The sequence below is a fragment of the Homo sapiens genome, chromosome 13 (genome assembly GCF_000001405.40).
Source record: "Homo sapiens chromosome 13, GRCh38.p14 Primary Assembly".
NCBI classification, from domain to species: domain Eukaryota; kingdom Metazoa; phylum Chordata; class Mammalia; order Primates; family Hominidae; genus Homo; species Homo sapiens.
The window spans coordinates 111,168,296-111,187,511 of record NC_000013.11 but is presented as its reverse complement, the minus strand read 5'-3'; the positions used below and the strand labels follow the sequence as shown (position 1 = coordinate 111,187,511).

General features: G+C 46.4%; 1 protein-coding gene and 1 pseudogene across 52 annotated transcripts in view, besides 5 other annotated features; one reads left to right on the top strand and one right to left on the bottom strand.

The window, feature by feature from the left end:
* Positions 1–19,216, bottom strand: part of ARHGEF7 (Rho guanine nucleotide exchange factor 7) — a 191,116-nt gene that overhangs the window by 118,223 nt on the left and 53,677 nt on the right. For 2 of the 52 annotated variants that reach the window (XM_047430739.1, XM_047430740.1), the window contains exon 1: positions 2,287–3,335. The exons of 46 other annotated variants lie outside the window; for them this stretch is intronic. The gene's annotated coding sequence lies outside the window, so the exon portion shown is untranslated. Of the gene's footprint in view, positions 1–521; positions 719–2,286; positions 3,336–19,216 lie in introns of those variants that run through there. 4 more of the 52 variants (XM_047430737.1, XM_047430743.1, XM_047430734.1 and 1 more) reach the window with 2 other exon arrangements.
* Positions 2,283–2,542: an enhancer, noted in NCBI's record as "active region_8028". NCBI's record gives its function as "activates an Ori minimal core promoter by ATAC-STARR-seq in GM12878 lymphoblastoid cells {active_cell/tissue: GM12878}" and the evidence as "EXISTENCE:reporter gene assay evidence [ECO:0000049][PMID:35858748]".
* Positions 2,643–2,772: an enhancer, noted in NCBI's record as "active region_8027". NCBI's record gives its function as "activates an Ori minimal core promoter by ATAC-STARR-seq in GM12878 lymphoblastoid cells {active_cell/tissue: GM12878}" and the evidence as "EXISTENCE:reporter gene assay evidence [ECO:0000049][PMID:35858748]".
* Positions 3,233–3,372: an enhancer, noted in NCBI's record as "active region_8026". NCBI's record gives its function as "activates an Ori minimal core promoter by ATAC-STARR-seq in GM12878 lymphoblastoid cells {active_cell/tissue: GM12878}" and the evidence as "EXISTENCE:reporter gene assay evidence [ECO:0000049][PMID:35858748]".
* On the top strand, positions 4,816–5,401 carry SALL4P4 (spalt like transcription factor 4 pseudogene 4; annotated as a pseudogene).
* Positions 11,320–11,539: an enhancer, noted in NCBI's record as "active region_8025". NCBI's record gives its function as "activates an Ori minimal core promoter by ATAC-STARR-seq in GM12878 lymphoblastoid cells {active_cell/tissue: GM12878}" and the evidence as "EXISTENCE:reporter gene assay evidence [ECO:0000049][PMID:35858748]".
* Positions 11,550–11,709: an enhancer, noted in NCBI's record as "active region_8024". NCBI's record gives its function as "activates an Ori minimal core promoter by ATAC-STARR-seq in GM12878 lymphoblastoid cells {active_cell/tissue: GM12878}" and the evidence as "EXISTENCE:reporter gene assay evidence [ECO:0000049][PMID:35858748]".

The window sequence follows — 19,216 nt, the reverse complement described above, 5'->3', positions numbered from 1 at the left end:
AAACAAAAAAAGGAAATTATTGGTTCGCACAACAAACAAGTCAGGAATGGCAAGAGCCACAAGCTCAGAACCGGAAGGCTTTCTCCGCTCTCTTTCCTACTCTCCTGAGTGTGCGCCACAGTTTCAGGAACGGTCTCCCTCATCAGGCAACAGGACCACTGGCAGCCCCAGGCCCACACCACCAGGTCAACACCTCAGATGCATCTCGCTGGACCCAGAGCCCACCACGTGAACCAATTTCACAGCCAGTGAAGCAGAACAAGGAGAGCTGTCCAAGGAGCCAACAATAACGGACACAGCATTCTGGCAAACCCACACATAAACATGTATTAATAATTTAGAGCACAAAAATTCAGACAGTCCCCCAGAGCTAAGGGACACCACTGTAGCACTAGGGCCACACAAATGCACGCAAAAGGACACACTGACCAGCTCTATTCCAGCCCAACTGCTTTCACACCACCCTCCCAATACCCACACCAACAAGCACAGCAACCTTAATCAACCCCGTCAGTACTGACACGAGAGCAAAAGAATGCCTCCTGCCTCCATGGTAGCGCTGGCTGATGCACCTCTACGTAGTAGACCCCAAAAAGACCAGACCGGGAAATGGGGAAAGAAGTAGTCGTCTTTTTGCTTCTCCTCACTTTCCACCATCTCAATACTGACGGAGAGGCCTCTGCAATGTGGGACTGAGCGCACACTTTCTGGGCTCACTGAAGCTTTAGTGGTCTGCGTTGCCACCAGTCAGCTCGCCTCCTCCAGGAACTTGAGAAAGTTATTCTTGACACAAGAAATTGTTATTTTTAGCACAGCTCTGGAGTGTGGTTTGCAAAGTTTAAAAATATAATTTTGTCCTATCACTGTCAAATGGAACTTGTGATTTCAGAACAAGAGTAAAAAATGAATCTTAAATAAGTGGTGCTATTTAAGTTTAATGCAAATGGTCCATATTGTTGGGGACATGTGAAAAACAGAAATCCAGCAGTACGTTTTCACTTCCTGGCTTCTGCAGATTTTGTACTTAATCCCACCCACTCCTACACCCCAGGGGTAAAATTAAAGTCTGATGACGGATGCTATCAATTACGGCACTTTCACCCAACATGCACCCAAATGATTTATTTCACTTTAAAATGAAAATCAAATCTTATTCAATTTTGTGGATTCCACTGTATCAACACCCAAACACTAGGACAGAGAATACATCTTCAAAAAAGAAGTAACCAAGTATTTTAGGTAGTTTCCAGGAAGGGGTGAGAGGAGCAGAGCAGGGAGGCAGGAGCACAGCAACGGGAAGGCAGGCAGGGCTCTTCCCAACAAGATGCTCTCTGCCTTCTGCAGACCGGGCGCAACCTCCACACGAGGCAGGGAAGCGCAGCCCCAACAGGCAGGGGAAAGGAAGGACACCTCCCTGCTTAGGACCACGGCATGCTGTGCTGGCCCACACAGCCCGTACCTCAGTGTAGACTGCATGCCAGTTTATCTTACAGGCAGAAAACGAAAACACACACACACACACACACACACACACACACACACACACACACGAGCTCCCAAAAGACAGTGTGACAAAGCTTACAAAGGCAGAACCAAGATCGGAGCCCACCAGCCTGGCTTTGCCCACACCACCACACTGCCAGCCAGGAAAGGACACCAGAGACAGTGGTGTCCCACAGCGGTCATGCAGGCAGATCAGGCAGCACCCAGGGGAGGAGGGGTGGTCTCAGACACAACTCACCACGTACACACACACAGCAGCCCATACAGCCTACACAGGCCCCCAAACTTCTGTCTTCGACTGCTAGGAGCACATGCCTGCAAAGAACAGCCTGGCTGTCGCCAGAAAGTGAGCACATACCACAAAGAAGGATCTGGGCAGATGCAACACACTGGCTTGGGCTAACAGTAAGTGAAGCAGTAACATTTACAGCTATAAAGGCAATGCGCCCATTCCATTAACTTCAAAATGCAAGCAGTTACAAGACTCCAGTTTTGAGAAGTTTCTCAAGATGGCCCACTGCAAACACCTATCTAACTCCCATCCCTCCCAAGGTGCCACCGAAATGAGAGAAAGAAAAAGCTTCAAAAAATTAACAGAGAAAGAACCCGCTGTAGTGCTAAAAAGGGAAAGGCTATGAGCAGTCTAAACAGGGTTTGAGGAGATCCCTGGGGACAGGACGCAGATGGACTCTGAATGACCTAACAGTTCAGAACAGCACTTGTAAGGGAGCCCCAGGAGCACCAAAGACGGTTTTCTAACACAGGAAGGGACACGTGACCCACCTCAGGACTTCAGCACGACAGCCCCTTCTTCCTGATGGGAAGCTCAGCACCCAGACCCCTCTCTAATTAAAAAGAAGCTGCTGCCTGCACTGGATTCTAACCGGAGGTGAAGTGACCCTCTCTAATTAAAGAGAAGCCTGCGGCCTGCACTGGATTCTAACCGGAACCTGATGCACCACTAGGCCCACACAACAGTCTCTGAGGAAAAAAAAAAATGACAATTCTACCCAGAAGCGAAATCCCCTGGGAGCTCCACCACCAGCCTGGACTATCCCCCATCTGAAGTGTGACACAGGAAACAGGTGCAGAGAAAGTGTCTCCCTCAGCTCTGCTCGTGTAGCTGCTTCTAGAGCCCTCCATCCGGTTCTCCCCACCTGCTCCCAGACACACAACCCGCACAGTGAAGCCCACGGGGCCGGTAACCCACACACAGGACTGCACAGTCCCCTCCGCTCTGATGCCAGTCAACTGGGCTTTTATTCACAAACAGGAAGAACCCATCAAGGCCACACCTGATAGGAAATAACAGCATAGCACAAAGAGAACTGACCTATGACTCCCAAAAAGATGGAGAAGACACATCTCCCCCTCCCTCCAGCTGAATGCAGCTAAAAGCCCTGGATGCTGCCTATAAAACAAACGTCAGCCTCAGAATGTGAGAGAGGAGGCAGACCGGCTAAGGGTTTCAGGGCTGGGAACCATGCCAGCGGGTTCTCTGGGTTTTCTTTTTGCCTCAAATGCTCCAAACTGAGTGCTAAACAAGCCAGCAACCCAGAAACACCAACAGGTACAGAAGAAAAGCCTCAAGAAAGACCTATCCTCTCTAGCCAAAGGACCAGGACAGGGCAGCCTAGTAGGTCAAAAAACTTCAACAATAACCATCTGTATTAGTCCGTTCTCACGCTGCTATGAAGAAATACCCAAGGCTGGGTAATTTATAAAGAAAAGAGGTTTAACTGGCTCACAGTTACACATAGCTGGGGAGGCCTCAGGGAACTTACAATCACGGCAAAAGGCACCTCTTCACAGGACAACGAGAGAGAATGAGTGCCAGGCAAAGCAGGGGAAGCCCCTTATAAAACCATCAGATCTCGTGAGAACTAATTCACGATCATGAGAACGGCGGGGAAACCAACCCGTGATTCAATTATCTCCACCTGGTCCCGCCCTTGACAGGTGGGGATTATTATAATTCAAGGTGAGATTTGGGTGGGGACAGAGTCACACCATAACACCATCCTACCCCAACCACACAGAGAGGGTTAAAAAATGCAGTCCCACCCGCACCCGGCCATAAGCAAGTGACCCCCGTCAACCCTTCCCCACAAGTCCTGGTGGAGACTTACAGAGCTCCTCATCTTTTACACAGGAGAGAAGTCTAAGATGACAAGTCAAGAAATACTAGAAATACAGTTAAAAGGTGACTACTAAAAAATTGAAAATTATAAAACCGGTACAATTAGCAAAAATTGGGATTTAGAGGGGCTGTGGGGAAGGTGAGAGACAGAGCAAGTATATTAAATTCCCTCCCTCATAAAGAGGCCATAATGGGGAAGAGAAGAAATGGATTAGAAGAGGGTTTATAGGTAAAAATCCACAGGACTTTATAATAATTGATAAAATGACAATGTACATGTAGTTTATGCACTATTTGATGCTATGCAAATGTAACTTTCAGCAGACAACATGAAAAGTTCAAAGGAGGTTTGATTAGAAAAGACGAAGCCACAGATGATGCCGGAGGTGTGAGACCTGAGGGTAGACCCCATCAAAAAACATCCAAAGAATCAAAACATTTGCCAGACAGCTTCTGAGAGAAATAGAAAAAAATAAGCTTATAACCACATTTTCACTGAGAACATTTTTGTTTAAAAAAAAAAAAGGTGCCAATACTCCCATCCAAATGCTATAGAATGCTATAGCTGTCTGCCTTCTGCACTTAATTTCTAACTCCCAGTACATGTCCACTGCATATGTATTTCAAAATAAGCGCCATTTAACAAAACTTGCTAGCACGAGTACAATGACATAGCGTGCGTGCAATGTGACTGCTAGTAATCTGCCTTCCTCTAACTCTTGACTATTTACACCTTGGTTCTACCTTGTAGGGCCACCCAGATGCTCAACTCACAATGGGGTACATCCTGTTAAACCCACTGTAAACTGAAAAACATCGTGAAGTTGAAAATACATTTGATACACCTAACCTACACAACATCACAGCTCAGCCTAGCTACCTTAAGTTTGCTCAGAACACTCATATTAGCTTACAGTTGGGCAAAATCATCTCACACAAGAGCATATTTTATAACACAGCGTTGAATAGCTCATGTGACGTACTGAATACTGAAAAACTGGCTGTATGGGTACTCGAAGCACTGTTTCTACTGAATGTGCATTGCTTTTGCACCATGGCAAAGTCAAAAAAACATGTAAGTTGAACCACTGGAGATGACGAACCATATCTGTATGAGCCCACAGATGCTAGGCCCAATTTCTCTGAACCCTAAAACTGCTTTCTAAACATCTAGTCCAAGTCTCCCGATGGCGGGGGCAGAGCTGAGAGCGGCCACGCTGAGATGGAAGGTGGGAGCAGTCTCCAAGTTTATCAGAGCCCAGCCAACTCCATCAAAGCTGAAGTTCCTGGTATTCGTCAGACCCCAGGCCACGTTCCCCCCACCCCTGGGCATGACACCATTGTTAAGAGGCCCAGCCATGCCCACAGCCAAGCAACAGAGATGCACAAGGTGTGGGAAGACCTTCTCATCCTCTCCGGCTCCTCAGATTTAAAGGCGGATGGAGTCACACTGGAGAAAAGCCTTTTGTATGCAACACATGCAGACAAGCTTTTACCACCAAAGGCAGCTTGAAGGTCCACTGTATGACACACGGGGCAGTAACTCAGCACCCCGTGGAAGGAAGCTGGCCAGAGAACACGGGGGCTCCATTAGGTACAGAGGAAAAGAGTCTCAGAAATGCTTCCCAAGGAAGTCCTGAACCCTCCGGCGAACAGGGACCTGTCGTATGGAGGCGGCACACCAGCACGCTCGACACCGTGAAGATCAACGAGACTGCTGCGATCCAGAACGGCGGTGTTCTCACCCTCCTGGTCTCCAATTCTTGTGAATTAAGGCCACTCTTGTGAATAAAACCCTCCCAGCTTCCTCTGAACAAACATCAGGTTCAAGTTATTCCATCCCCTAGCAGTCAAGATGCACAATGCTGCAGGCTTTTCACATTTCCCCTGACTCCACATTTAGGACAGCTCACCAAATCCACAACGCTTTGTTGGTTCAGTTCAACACATCAACCTGAAAAGCTCACAGGCCAACCAAGCAGCAGCATTACCTGCATGATGTCTGGCCCCTCTGCCCTTTCAAAGGTCGCTTCCTACCTGAAGCTCTTTCCTGTTTCCACCTGGAATGTTTCTTCCCCTCTCTGAGTCCCAACCCCATGACAGCTGCGCCTCTCTTGAAGCATTTACAGCTGCTGCCCCCTATTCAGGTTACATGGGTTCCTTCCACTTCAGTGCACTGTTCCATGATGCCTCAGGGCACAGATATCTTGTTCACCTCTATACTCCCTCAGGGCAAGGCACCCAGCTCAAGACACTTCCTCAGAACCGAGTGCAAACTGATGAACAGCACCTGGAGAAATACTCCAAGTTCTCCACCACAATGAAATCCAGACTATGCTCCCCAGTTGTTGTTGTTGTTTAAAAAAAACATGATCTATCCAAGAAATGCCCCAGTCAAAGGATCTCATGACTTTGTCCCATCTCTTTCTGGGCATGCTCCAAGTCCTACAAAATGACCTCCACCTCTTCCAGGGGCCAGTTCTAAACTAAGATTCCAATCAACTGCCATAAACAAGACAAAAGTAGGTTTCCAGGTCTTCTCTCAGCAAAGGGATGTAAAATTTGAAGTTGGGACAACTTGAAACCCTTAATACACAAATTTACCAATTCCAAAGTTCCCTTGTCCTGATCCTTCTAAGACCCCCATGTGATCAATGTTCAAACTCTTGACCATGATCCACACTAAAAAATGTATTTCACAATGTAACCAATACACACAGAATCCATAAAGTTGTTGAAGTTTGAATTTTGAATAAATTCACCACTAAGAGATAAACAATTAGCAAATACAACAGGGACAGGAGCTACTCAAATTTTAAAGTGGCCATTCACCTGCTCCAATTTATTTTCCAAGTAGTAAGTCTTTCACTACACTCAACGGCCTTCACTGAGTTACACATCATGCCCAGAATGATGGGGGGCATTTTGAACACTAACATTTTTGCAATCAGACATCTTAAATCTTAAATGTCCTTCCAGTTGCATGATGCAGATTATGTATATTATCTATATAAACACACGTATTAAAAATTCAAAATGCAGAACATTATGGACACTACAGTATATAGTTCCCCATAAAGATTAAATTTCCAGGTGTCTATAATCTTCCACCAACTGTACTGCTCTCATTCTCTTGTTGGAGCTGATCTTTAATTCTCAATTTGGAAGTTCTGAAATCACCATAAACCTGGATTCAAATACCAACTCTGCCACCTAGTAAATGTTAGACACTGGGCATCTTCCTTAACCTCTCTACATCTCAGCTTCTCCTTCCTGTAGTGTGATCACTATCTCTGCCTTACAACACAGCCTTCTGGGGCTTCTGGTACTGAGAAGCTCCTCTGGAAGCAGCAGCTGTTACTACTAAGCTGTTGTCATGCATGTTTTAAAGAATCTTACATTTCTACCTCTTCTGTATTTCCACCGTTACTTCTCATAAAATGGAAAATATCCTATCTGTATGTGTTCCTTCCCTGTCAATCAACTTCCTTCTATTCACTCCTGAAGCTCACATGGATAAAATTCAGTTCATGGCTTCAGTCTGAGTCAAAGACTGATTTTTTGCTTGGTAATGAAAAGCTCGTAAGGGAAGTAAAACAGACCTCAGAAGTAAATGACTAAGTTCACAAATGTTATAGAATCTTTGGATTCTTGAAAGCAAAGTAACATTTTCTCCTCTCCCACATCCCACAACTTGCGGGCTTAGATGCCCACCACCACCCTCCAGTGCCAACAGGAGCCTGAGGCCCTAAAGAAAGCCTCAAATCAAAGGGCCTGAGAACCACCTGAACCACCATAACAGGAAGTAATTCAGGCACGTAGGCAGTGGATGCTAGAAGCATCAGTGAAACGTTTGGGGGTAAAGTATCATCCATGGATTAAGCACAAAGGGAAAGGCACCCTTATAACCGAGATCTGGTGGACATCACTTTAACCTAGTGACCAACTGTGGCACCAGCAGTGACGGAGCCCACTAACAGTAAGTGCCTTCCGCTGGGACCCAATGGGAAGTACAGAGTATTACCTATGCAGAATTCATGCCAGAAATGTCTAACCTGAACCAAATCATGTCCAGACTGTAGGGCATGCTACACACTAACAAGCCTGGATTCTTCAAAAGCGTCAAATCCTAACGTTAAAGCGATAAAGGCAGAAAAACGATCCTACAGGAAAATAAACTAGAGACAAACCAGATGTAATGCATGACCCTTGTTCAGATCCTACATTTAACAGAAAGAAAAGCCATAAACGTCATTCTGAGACCACCAGAGATATCTGAATATGGGTTGCATAAGCGATAACATTATAGGATATAGCATACGGCAACACAACGTTAAATTTCTGGGTGTGATAATGACACCATGGTTATGTAGGAGAATGTTCTTATTTTTAAGATACACATGCTGAAGTATTCAGAGGTAAGGATCATGGGATCTACAACATGACTTACACAGTTGGCAAAATAAAACAGAAACAGGCGTTTGAGGCCGGGTGCAGTGGCTCATTCCTGTAATCCCAGCACTTCGGGTGGCCAAGGCGGGAGGATCACCTGAGGTCAGGAGTTCAAGACCAGCCTGGTCAACATAGCGAAACCCTGTCTCTACTAAAAACACACAAAAAAAAGTAGCTGGGAGTGATGGCACGTGCCTGTAATCCCAGCTACTAGGCTGGCTGAGGCACGAGAATCGCTTGAACCCGGGAGGCAGAGGCTGCAGTGAGTTGAGGTTGCACTACTGCACTCCAACCTAGGTGACAAAGCAAGATTCTGTCTCAAAAAAAAAAAAAAAGAACAGGCATTTGAACTCAGAATGCTGGTGACCTGTGAGAAGGGCACACGGATGTTCACCGAACTCTAGTCTCCCAACCTTTGTTACTTTTAAAGTTTTCAAAACAAAAAAAAAGGGGGGGGACGGCACATTAAGTGGCTCTCTCTAGCATCCGCTCACCATCCGTAGCCTAGGAGGAAAATAAAGCATTTCACTCATCATCTGTGGGGCTTTCGTGCAAATAAACACCCACATGAACAATCCTTCTGACCGGCCCGACATTTCTTAAAGATCTCAGTCACTGCCACACTAATCTTCCCCTCAAACTCTCAGCATAGCTGGGCTGGCCCATTCTACAACGAGACAGTTAGAGAAAAGTGTGGCTTCCTCCCTGCCTTTTCCAAGCTGGGTGGGTACCGGCAGCTGCCTCCCTGACAGATGGCTGGCACTCCTCACCATGCCCAGCTGGACAGCGCTAAGTACCAAGCTAACTCAGTCAGAAACTCTCCAGAGAGATGCTGGGGTCAGCATTTTTTAAAAACACTCGCATACTCAGAATCCCAAGTGGATACCACCCAATCTAACCTTGAAACCTTCCCTAAAGGGCAAGAGTGAACATTCCATCTGAATACTGTATCACCTCTGAACTGAAGACCACTCCCTTTCTCTAAACTATCACAGAAAACATACAAGGTAAACTGACAAAAATCTGGCCAAAAACACATATTTTGGATAAGAATGCTATTTTTAAAAACACATTAAATGTAGACTGCACATCTAAATATGGTCTGAAAAGAACTCAGGGTTTTGTGTTTTTGTAATTACTCACTGGGAACCTGTTCTCTCGCTGGTTCCCAGGACATAAGGGAACTCCTCAGGAACTCAGAGTGCTTCAGGGCAAGCGCCTGTCAAGAAAAAGAGAGAGGAGGACTTCCCATCCCTACAAGATCAGCTGGCATTTTCTTGCTTTATTTTTAAATGAAAATAGAAAAGCAATGACTAAAAGATGATCAAAGAACCCTGCTTTACTAGCCTCAGTCAAGCTGAGAAACAGGAAGTTTAGGAGAGAGGAAGGAGGTCAAAGGACAGGCACTGAGTGAACACAGAATTCCCTGCGCATGGAGAAGAGGAGGTGAGCTATTCCAGGGTTCTCGGGACCACACTGCGTGCGAGTTCAAGCTTCACTGTTCCCACTCACTGGTCATGACTGTCTGCTTCATTTTTCACAAGGACTTTTAGAAAATAACAACATATACCCTTCTTAACACTTTTTTCCCCACCATCTGGCCAACATCAAACATCCTTGTTCAATAGCATGTTGAAAAATGCACGTGAGCTAATATATTCAAGATAGCACATATTTCATACCCAGAAAGACATGCCTTTTACCCAGTCTGGGCCACTCTGTCTGAGGCTAGTGAGAGGCCTTCCCAGTGACAGTCCCAAGGACAAACGTCATCAGCTGAGCTAGTCCAGACAAGTGGCACCGGGGCAGCAGTGCCTAATGGGACTGCCAGCAGGACCGTGTGAGAACCTGCAAACTCACCAACACGGCTCAGGGATACTGAGAACACATTCTCAGGGGGTGTGACCCTCCCCTCCTCAGTGAGCACAGACCTGCTCCTTAGATTCCAGCCGCATTCAGAACACACTGACTCCACTGATAGCACATCTCACACCCCGCCTGAGCTCAGCTCCCAGAATGACCAATGGGCCTTGACCAGTTTGCAACAGGAAGAATGTGGACTCCTTTGAGAGTAGAGGGACAAAAGGACGATAACACAACATCATTTGTGTTTCTTCAATATGCACGCAGGCACAGAGACAGGAAGTGCATCACAACAGGCCCAGCCTCAGCCCCGGCCACAATGCACCAGCTGTGTGGCCCTGGCCCAGTTCCCAGGCCTCTCAATACCTCCGTTTCTCCCGCAAAGCGATGCCTGCTTCCTCAGCACTGGTACAGGTTTAAATGAGTTAATTCGGTGAAGTCACTGGAACCACGCCTAGCACAGAATACACACCACTTATTTATAAAATAAGTCAGTCAGCCGGGCGCGGTGGCTCACGCCTGTAATCCCAGCACTCTGGGAGGCCAAGGCGGGTGGATCACCTGTGGTCAGGAGTTCAAGAACAGCCTGGCCAACATGGTGAAGCCCCGTCTCTATTAAAAATACAAAAATTAGTGGGGCGTGGTGGTACACGCCTGTAGTCCCAGCTACTGGGGAGGCTGAGGCAGGAGAATCGCTTGAATCCGGGAGGCAGAGGTTGCAGTGAGCCAAAATCGCACCATTGCACTCCAGCCTGGGTGACAAGAGTGAACTCCATCTAAAAAAATAAATAAATAAATAAGCCAGTCAGCAAATACTACCTAAGGACATCTCAGATCATGTGACACGCCTGAAATGGAAAGCTCAAGAGCAGATGGGGGACAAGAGGAGGACAAACGTCCGCACGCGGGGGTCCCACTCATCATGGTTACACTCCTGGACATGACCCTACCTGATGGGAAACTTCCCAGGGAGGGTGTTTAGGCAGTGACAGGTGGCAGGCAGGGGCTACGTGGGTCACCCCACAGGGCACAGCACACAGTGAAGAGAAAGGAGAGAGTGGGACCTAGGAAGAAACTGGGGAGGAAGCAAAACACAAGTTCCAGGGGCCGGCCATCTAACCAGATCCACCACACAAATGGCAGCCAGATGCCAGAGGGGGAGAGGCACATCACGCACAATTCTCAGGAAACAGAAACTGCCTTACACACCTCAAACACTGCAATTTGACATCAAAAAGTATCTTGCTCACCTACAGTCATTCTCCACATAGCAGCAATGGTCGCATTTTCTATGGGTAAAAGATCAGGCTTAAAATCCTCCAGCAGCTTCTGGCCATCATTAGACTAAAATCCACACTTCCATCAACCTACAGAAGGGGGCTCAGAGTCCTAGGCAGAGCATGGTGCTGGTGACAGACTACCTGTGTGGCTGATAGGGTTTGGCTGTGTCCCCAACCAACTCTTTATCTTGACTTCTACTTCCAGAAACCCTGCGTGTCATGGGAGGGCCCAGTGGGAGGTAATTGAATCATGGGGCAGTTACCTCCATGCTCTTCTCGTGACAGTGAGTTCTCACAAGATCTGATGGTTTAATAAGGGGCTTTTCCCTGCCCTTCGCTCTGCATTTCTCCTTCCTGCCGCCATGTAAAGAAGGACGTGTTTGCTTCCCCTTTTGCCACAACTGTTAAGTTTCCTGGGACCTCCCCAGCCCTGTGTTAACTGTGAGTAAATTAAACCTTTCTCCTTTATAAATTACCCAGTCTCAGACAGTTCTCTATAGCAGTGTGAGAACAGACTAACACATTCAGAAAGACTCAACCCCTGTGCCTCAGTCTCCTTATCCACAAAGAGAAGTGGGCAGTCCCACCTCCCAGGGCTGCTATGAGGACGTCCAAGGCAATACCTTTCAAAGCGCCTGGAGCAGAGGACGCCCAGTGAGGAGCCAGCAGCTTAGGAGGCCCGCCCCTGGGGCCTCCAGTCCTTCCCCCAAAAGCTCACTCACCCCACTGCAGGCTCCAGCCTGCAGCAGGCAGGCTCAATTCCATCTCAGAGCCTTTGCCCAGGCACTCTTCTGCCTGGGTGCCCTTCCCCACACTCACATGGCAACACCCTGACTGAGAGGGCCCCCAGAGAGGTGCTCCCAGGCTTTGAGTCTCACAGGGCAGCCCTGCTCTCTCACCCTCTCCCATTCCCTCACTCTCCCCTCACTCTGTCTTCTTCATGGCTTCCATCAGCGCCAGGAATTCTGTTGTGAACATGTCTGTCCTCTGTACATTCTGAACCATACAAGTGTGGGCCTTGACTCTAGAGCTTCTAAGACAGTGTGGGACCCACAGGGGCCCTCAGTGCACAGCTGCTGAATTATCCCATCAACTCCTTAGTGGCTATTTCAGTGAACTATTACGAAAAGAAATAAGCAGCTTACCACAAACAAATATTCAATTTAGAGAAGCTCGTCCCACTCCCAGAAGGCAGATCTACCTTGTGGAAAGGCTACAATCTAATTTAATTCAACTTAAAACAGGGAAGAGTCAAATTCACACTGCTGTATGCTCCCAACACAGGAGGACGGTTGAGGAGGAGACAGCAAGATCCCGAGACACAGGCAACAGATGGAGCTTTTAGGTTTCACCCGACACGCACAAGCACATGTGCTGCACAAAACCAACCCGAGGACTGTCAGCAACTTCTAGTCCTCGCACGCCTAGCTGAGTTATCAGCAAACTGCTTCCTAGGAGCTGCAAGGACCTCCCGGTGTTTCCTCTCCTTTCTGCTTACGACCCCCAGCGTACAGATGGACCAGACCGCTAGCACAGCTGAGGCACGGGGTGTGGACACAGAGCAGGGCAAACCCAGAAGGTGTGTTTTCACAAAGCTGGAGCAAAGTGGCCCTCCAGATGTCTACTTTAACTAAGGCAAGACAATGAACTCAAAATAGCACTACAGGAAAACTTAGTGAACTAAGCCACGTATGCCCAGATAATGCATGGCATTTCCCAGCTCCTTGTAATGACCAGGAAGTCATAAAATGCAAGAGCAAGACTGCGAGAAAGGTGAAGGAAGAGCAAGAAAGGGAGACAGACAAGGAGATGACAGAAGACAGCAAGATGGCCTCTTCCTTGCTGGGTGGGCAGAAATCTGTCAAGGACCAAAGGGGGAGAAAAAAGCCTTGAAGAATTCGGAAGACATGAAGATGCCAATACACAACAGGTGCCAACAGAGGGATTCCACAGGCACTGCCGTCTGGACATTTTAACAGTGTGGTTAAATGTAAAAATCAGTAAATGATCTTAGAGTATAAGCTCTGAGAAATAAGAGTAACCAATTTTAATTATCCTCAATCCCAAAATATCTCAGCAGTCTCTATAAAATATTACCTAGATTTTAAATAGCAGCAAATATCATTCCTTTTTTCAAAACAAACCTTTTACACTGAAATAAGCTAACACGGATTCTACCTTGTTTACCTCAGGCGCTTCATTAATCTTATCCGAATAGTACAGGGGGAGGGCTGGGTGCCAGACAAAGGAGGGAAATCTACCTTATGAATTATTAATACCAATCGGAGATCACAAATTTGTCTTGAAAATTAAGTAAATTTTTTATCATAGTAATCACTACACAAGTTGACCCAGTCAGTGCAATGCAAACACCACCACAAGCAGTTAAGCAGCCTGATAAAACTGAATGACACCCACATCCCTCTACAGACACCCGCACCTGTCTCACGGGCACACCCCACCCACCCCCTGACCTCCCAACCCTCCAAGACCAGGTGCTGCAGGTAGCAAATGACATCCTCAAACACGAGACATCTCCATTCAATGTGGGGAGAGGCAGTGGTCTCCATGCTCACTTGGCAGCCATGAAACACAAGCCGACTTAAAGCTGACCCTAACAGCACATCCAAAATGTGCTTTCCAAATTGCCAACCTCCTGGGAAAGCAATCCGTGGATGAAATTTCACAGGCTTCCAATCAGTGAATACACTGTGTCCCCAGTGAGCACTCTGCCCTGTCCCTCCACATCCTGGGGCTGAGCTTACGCTACAGAGCATCTCCAACTGATGCCACAAAGTAGGTACGAAGGTGGAGCATCCTCCCAAGACAGACACAGAGGCCTGGAATTGGTCAAACTCCTGGTAATTTTCCTGGTTCTGACTCCCCAGTATGACCCTGCTACTCTGTGAAGATAAAAGTGACTGGAAGACTTTAAAAGGGGGCAAAATATCAAGACAAGCTAGCCAAGCACACCACCCCTCCAGGCTGCCAGGCTCTGAGACCGGCCAGCCCTCCCAGGCAGTATGCATTCCACCCCAACCATGGCTAGGCTGTTTCTGCCCAGAAACGCAACATGCTCTGGGGGAGGTAACTGGCAGGATCTGTGTGCACTCTGACACCAACTCTGTGAAAAGAAAAAAGGTGTGGGTTGAGAGTGAGCAAATGGCATTAAAAAATGCTGGAAGGAAATACAGCAACACGTTAATAAAGGTAACTTATTAATGATACAAGTGGAATGGTTTTTTCATATACTTTTCTGCAGTTTTTATTTCTATACACAGGTTGAGCATCCCTCATCTGAAATGCTTGGGACCAGGAGCGTTTCAGATTTTGGATTTTCATATTTGAGATGCTCAACCTGTCTACACACATAGCTACTATAATCGGGAGAAAAAGGCAGCATCAGTAATGTCTGACTAGAAAACAGCTATGCCTAGTTTGTACATGCCAACTCTGGCTGCTGTCGCACAACAACGGCAGAATAATTGTGACAGAGGTCTGCCCCACCCCAGCCCCCACAAGATAGTTACTGTCTAGCTTTTTACAGAAAACTGCCAAGCCTTGGTTTACAGCACCAGGACCCCTCTCTCTGCTATTAACCCAGTCTGTAGGGTGTTTTTACTAAGTGTGCAAATGACAGTTCAAATTTACTGCAAGAAAAGAGGCTGGTTTTTTAAAACCAAGTTTTATTATGGCTTGAGTTTCTTTGAGGAAATGGTTCCCAAAAAGTGTGAAGGGCAGAAGCAGTCAGAGAGGATGTGACACTGTCACAGGATGAGGTGATCACCAACTTACCTGCAGCCTTAGAGAGCGGCACCACCACGTGACTTGGAACTGGAGAATGCCATGACTTCAGGGATATTAAGAGAATATATACTTCCAGGACCACATTTCCACAGAGACGATGCTCTAAAAGCCCCTAGAGCACTGATTCAGTGAGTGCTTCCATTTATAGAACTGAATTTATTTCGTTTAGGGATATTAAGAGAATATATACTTCCAGGACCACATTTCCAAAGAGACTATGCTCTAAAGGCCCCTAGAGCACTGATCAGTGAGTGCTTCCATTTAAAGAACTGAATTCATTTTGTTACAATCTCCCTTACTGGCTTGTAAGAGCTACTTACGTATTTAGAGTACCAGCCCCTCGTCAAGATTACGAACGTGTTTTCTCAGGGTACCGTGTACTGATGCTCTCTGCCACTGCCTTGGGCCGTTCAGGCTGCTGTAAGAAAATACCATAACCTGGGCGGCTCATAAGCCACAGAAATGTATTCTCACAGTTCTGGAACTGGGAAGTCCAAGATCAAGGCATGGACTGATTCAGTATTTGGTGAGGGCCTGTTTCTTCACAGATGAACTCACTGCAAACTCACATGGCACGGGGGCAGAGGTCTCTCTCTGAGGCCTCTTTTATATGAGCACTAACCCCATTCATGAGCCTAGTCACCTCCAAAGGCCCCACCTCCTAATACTGTCACCTTGGGGGTTAGGATTTCAACATGGGAATTTGGGGAGGAGACACAAACATTCAGACCATGGCAGCCACAGAAGAGCTTTGTTTTTAGAGGCTCATTCCTTTTTCTCTTGAAATCAAACTTTAACAGCTTTCCCCAATTAGAAAAGCATTCACCAAGCTAACTTCAAAGATCACACTGATGTTTACTCCATCACATAAAAATTGCTCATGCAAATTGAACACATACATAATGAGCCAACTTCCTCAACTAAAAGATCAAAGCATGAAGGGAAAGGACTTGTAGATTCAAGCATGTAACCTGGAGCGATATTAAAGTGTAACTCTATAAACAAAGTGAAATTATTTTTAATGCTTTTCACTTTATTTTTTTTAATTTGCTTTCAAAGACTGTCACCAAAGAGCCTCATCCAGCACTGAGCAGCCACACTCTGTTCAGACACCTGTACTCCTGCACACGCAGCTCCCAAGCTAGGCTTGGCTACAACCAAAACCCAAATACCTCAAATCTTTATGGTTACAACAGTGCCAGCTCACACAGTTTAAACTATCTTAGCCTCCTCATCACAAACAAAATGCTGTGGAAAAAACCGTACCTTCCTCAGGCTAATTCCATTTGGTTATACAGAGCCCTGAACAAAAGTAACTCTAAGAGTGCATTGGTGAGCTTAAGCTTAAAGTAAAAGCCAGTTCTTTCATTTGAGTTCAAGCCCTTGTTTAACAGATTTCAAACAATAATTTTAAAAAAAGAAAATCCAGTGCACACAAAATTCTTAGTTCCCTATTTTATGATGGATATTTGGTATGCATGCATTTTTCTTATGGACACAAACAACAGAAAAAGGATAAAATGCTTTTAAAAATTAAAGATAACCACTGCTGCTTTTTATATCTGCAACAGAAAAGACTGAGACTGATTATCTGTTATCTGCCATAAATTAAATTCCCAAATCAAACTTCTTGTCCCAAGTACCCAACAAGCAGGTCTCCCATTTTTACCTCAAACACACAGCAGCAGGCTCTGCTTCCAGGGGCCTGGGCACCATCCGTCATCAGAGTTCTCCCAAGTCCTCCCAGAGCGGAGCCAGACCCTTGGGGTAGCCACCATCATCTCCCAACAAGGAACCTTCTAGAACCTTCCAGAAAGTGAATCTGGCCTAAGGGTAACACACAGCACTTTCCCCGGCCACTTAGCACTGCATTCAGTAAAGGCAGGAAGGCTTGAGTGAGCAGCCTTGTGCAAGGCCGTTGATAACGCCAGTAACATGATCAATTCTCACCCAGCTTCCCTACATAAGAGATAAAATAAGAAGAAATTCCAGTAAGAAGGAAGAAAATGGTCAACAGAAGAGCAATTCTGACGTCCACGTTTGGTCTTCCTCAGAAGATTGACTAACTGCGCCAGGCACGGTGGCTCACGCCTATAATCCCAGCACTTTGGGAGGCCAAGGCGGGTGGATCACTTAAGGCCAGGAGTTCAAGACCAGCCTGGCCAACATGGCAAGACCTCGTCTCTATTAAAAATACAAAAATTAGCCAGGCATGGTGGTACATGCCTGTAATCTCAGCTACTCGAGAGGTTGAGGCATGAGTACTGCTTGATCCCAGGAGGCAGAGGTTACAGTGGGCTGAAATCACACCACTGCACTCCAGCAGGGAGAACAGAGCAAGACTCTGTCTACAAAAAAAGAAGAGTGGCTAGCTTGTATCACGTTGGCTGTGAGAGCAAATCCTAAAAGCGTCACCTCTGCAGAGGGGCCTTCTCTGATCACCCAATCTCTAAAAGCGTCACCTCTGCAGAGGGGCCTGCTCTGATCACCCAATCTAAGTCAGCACTCAGGTGCTCTCTCACCTCACCCCCTGATATTCTGCAGTTGTTGCGCATGACAGTTTTATTTGTTCACACGCTCATTCCTTTGCTTAAGTGTCTCCCCAACTAGAATTACACTCCCTAAGAGCAGGGCCCCTCCTCCCTTACTCACCAAGCCACCTCCAGCAACTAGAACGGTGTCTAGCAAACAGAGGTGATCATTAAATGTTCATTACTGTAACAGCATAAATATATTTTACAGTAAGAATGACTCCAAAGTTAAAAATATAATTCCACCAAAAAATCTTCCAATAATGTCTCACAAGCAAGGTCCTGGTTACCAACGCAAGGACCAGGAAGAAGCCTCTGGCTGATGTGGCTTGGTTCTCATGTCGAAGTATAATCCCCAATGTTGGAGGTGGGGCCTGGTGGGAGGTGACTGGATCGTGAGGGGCAGATTTCCCCTTGGTGCTGTTCTCGTGATGATGAGTGTGTGCTGGTGAGATATGGTTGTTTCAAGGTGTGTGGCACCTCCCCACTCCCTTGCTCCTGCTCCGGCCAGTTAAGACGAGCCTGCTTCCCCTTTGCCTTCCACCACGATTGTAAGTTTCCTGAGGCCTCTCCAGAAACAGGGCAGATGACAACATCATGCTTCCTGTACACCCTGTGGAACCATGAGCCCATTAAACCTCTTTTCTTTATAAATTACCCAGTCTCAGGTATTTATAGCCATGTGAGAACAGACTAATACAGTGGCATTAACGACCTCTGCAATTCTCTCCTAACACACGACTTTCTTCTCTTCCCAACAATGCCAAGTGACTTTTTTAAGGATTAAGTAAACTAGTACATGTTAAACGGATTTGCCTCTGCCTGGCACAACCCCACAGTAAGCATCCCCAAACTTAACCGCTACTATTGTCATTATTTGTTACCTAAGCCAACTTCCCGAATTACTGAACACCAAAAAGTTCAGAACTACTGATTAAAAGAGAAATGATAAGGTCTGCTTCAAATTGTGAATACTGAGTTGCTGTCTGCATCCTCTCTGGCACAGGCATCAAAGAACATATTATAGAAGCAATGTCACCTACCCTCCTCATGTCATCCAACACTCCTGGCTTCCATAAACACTTCACTGGCGATCAGTCATCAAGGAACCTATTCTCTCAACACAGCATCACTTTCTTGGAGTCAACATATCAAAACCACAAAACTATGCCATTTTTACATCTTTAATATTTCCTTTGTTTAGTTTCAAAAATCATCTCTCAAGCTTCAAAAAACTAAACCCAAGTTTTGTGATTCTGTGATTTTTTTCTGGGGGTGGGAATGGACAATTTACTGAAACCCTTTCATAGCCTTCAAAACTGTATAATCTATAAGGATATCCCTTTTCAATCATTACCTTTCAAGACTGAACCTGAACAATTCTTGCCTATTTTATCCACCTCTATGCAGAAACCCTGGTATTTCCCTGTTAATATTCCAAGTTCTTGGAACATTCTGAGAACATAAAGACATGGAAGGAAAAGTGTCAACTCTCCACTCGTGTTTATCCTCAAGGCAGCATGAAGCTTGAAGAAATCTGCAGGAGGCGGGGACTCTGAGCCTGGAATGGCAACAGCTGCTAGGTGGCTGGGCAGGCCTGGAGGGGACCCACACCCCTGCCTCACACAGCTGTCGCACAG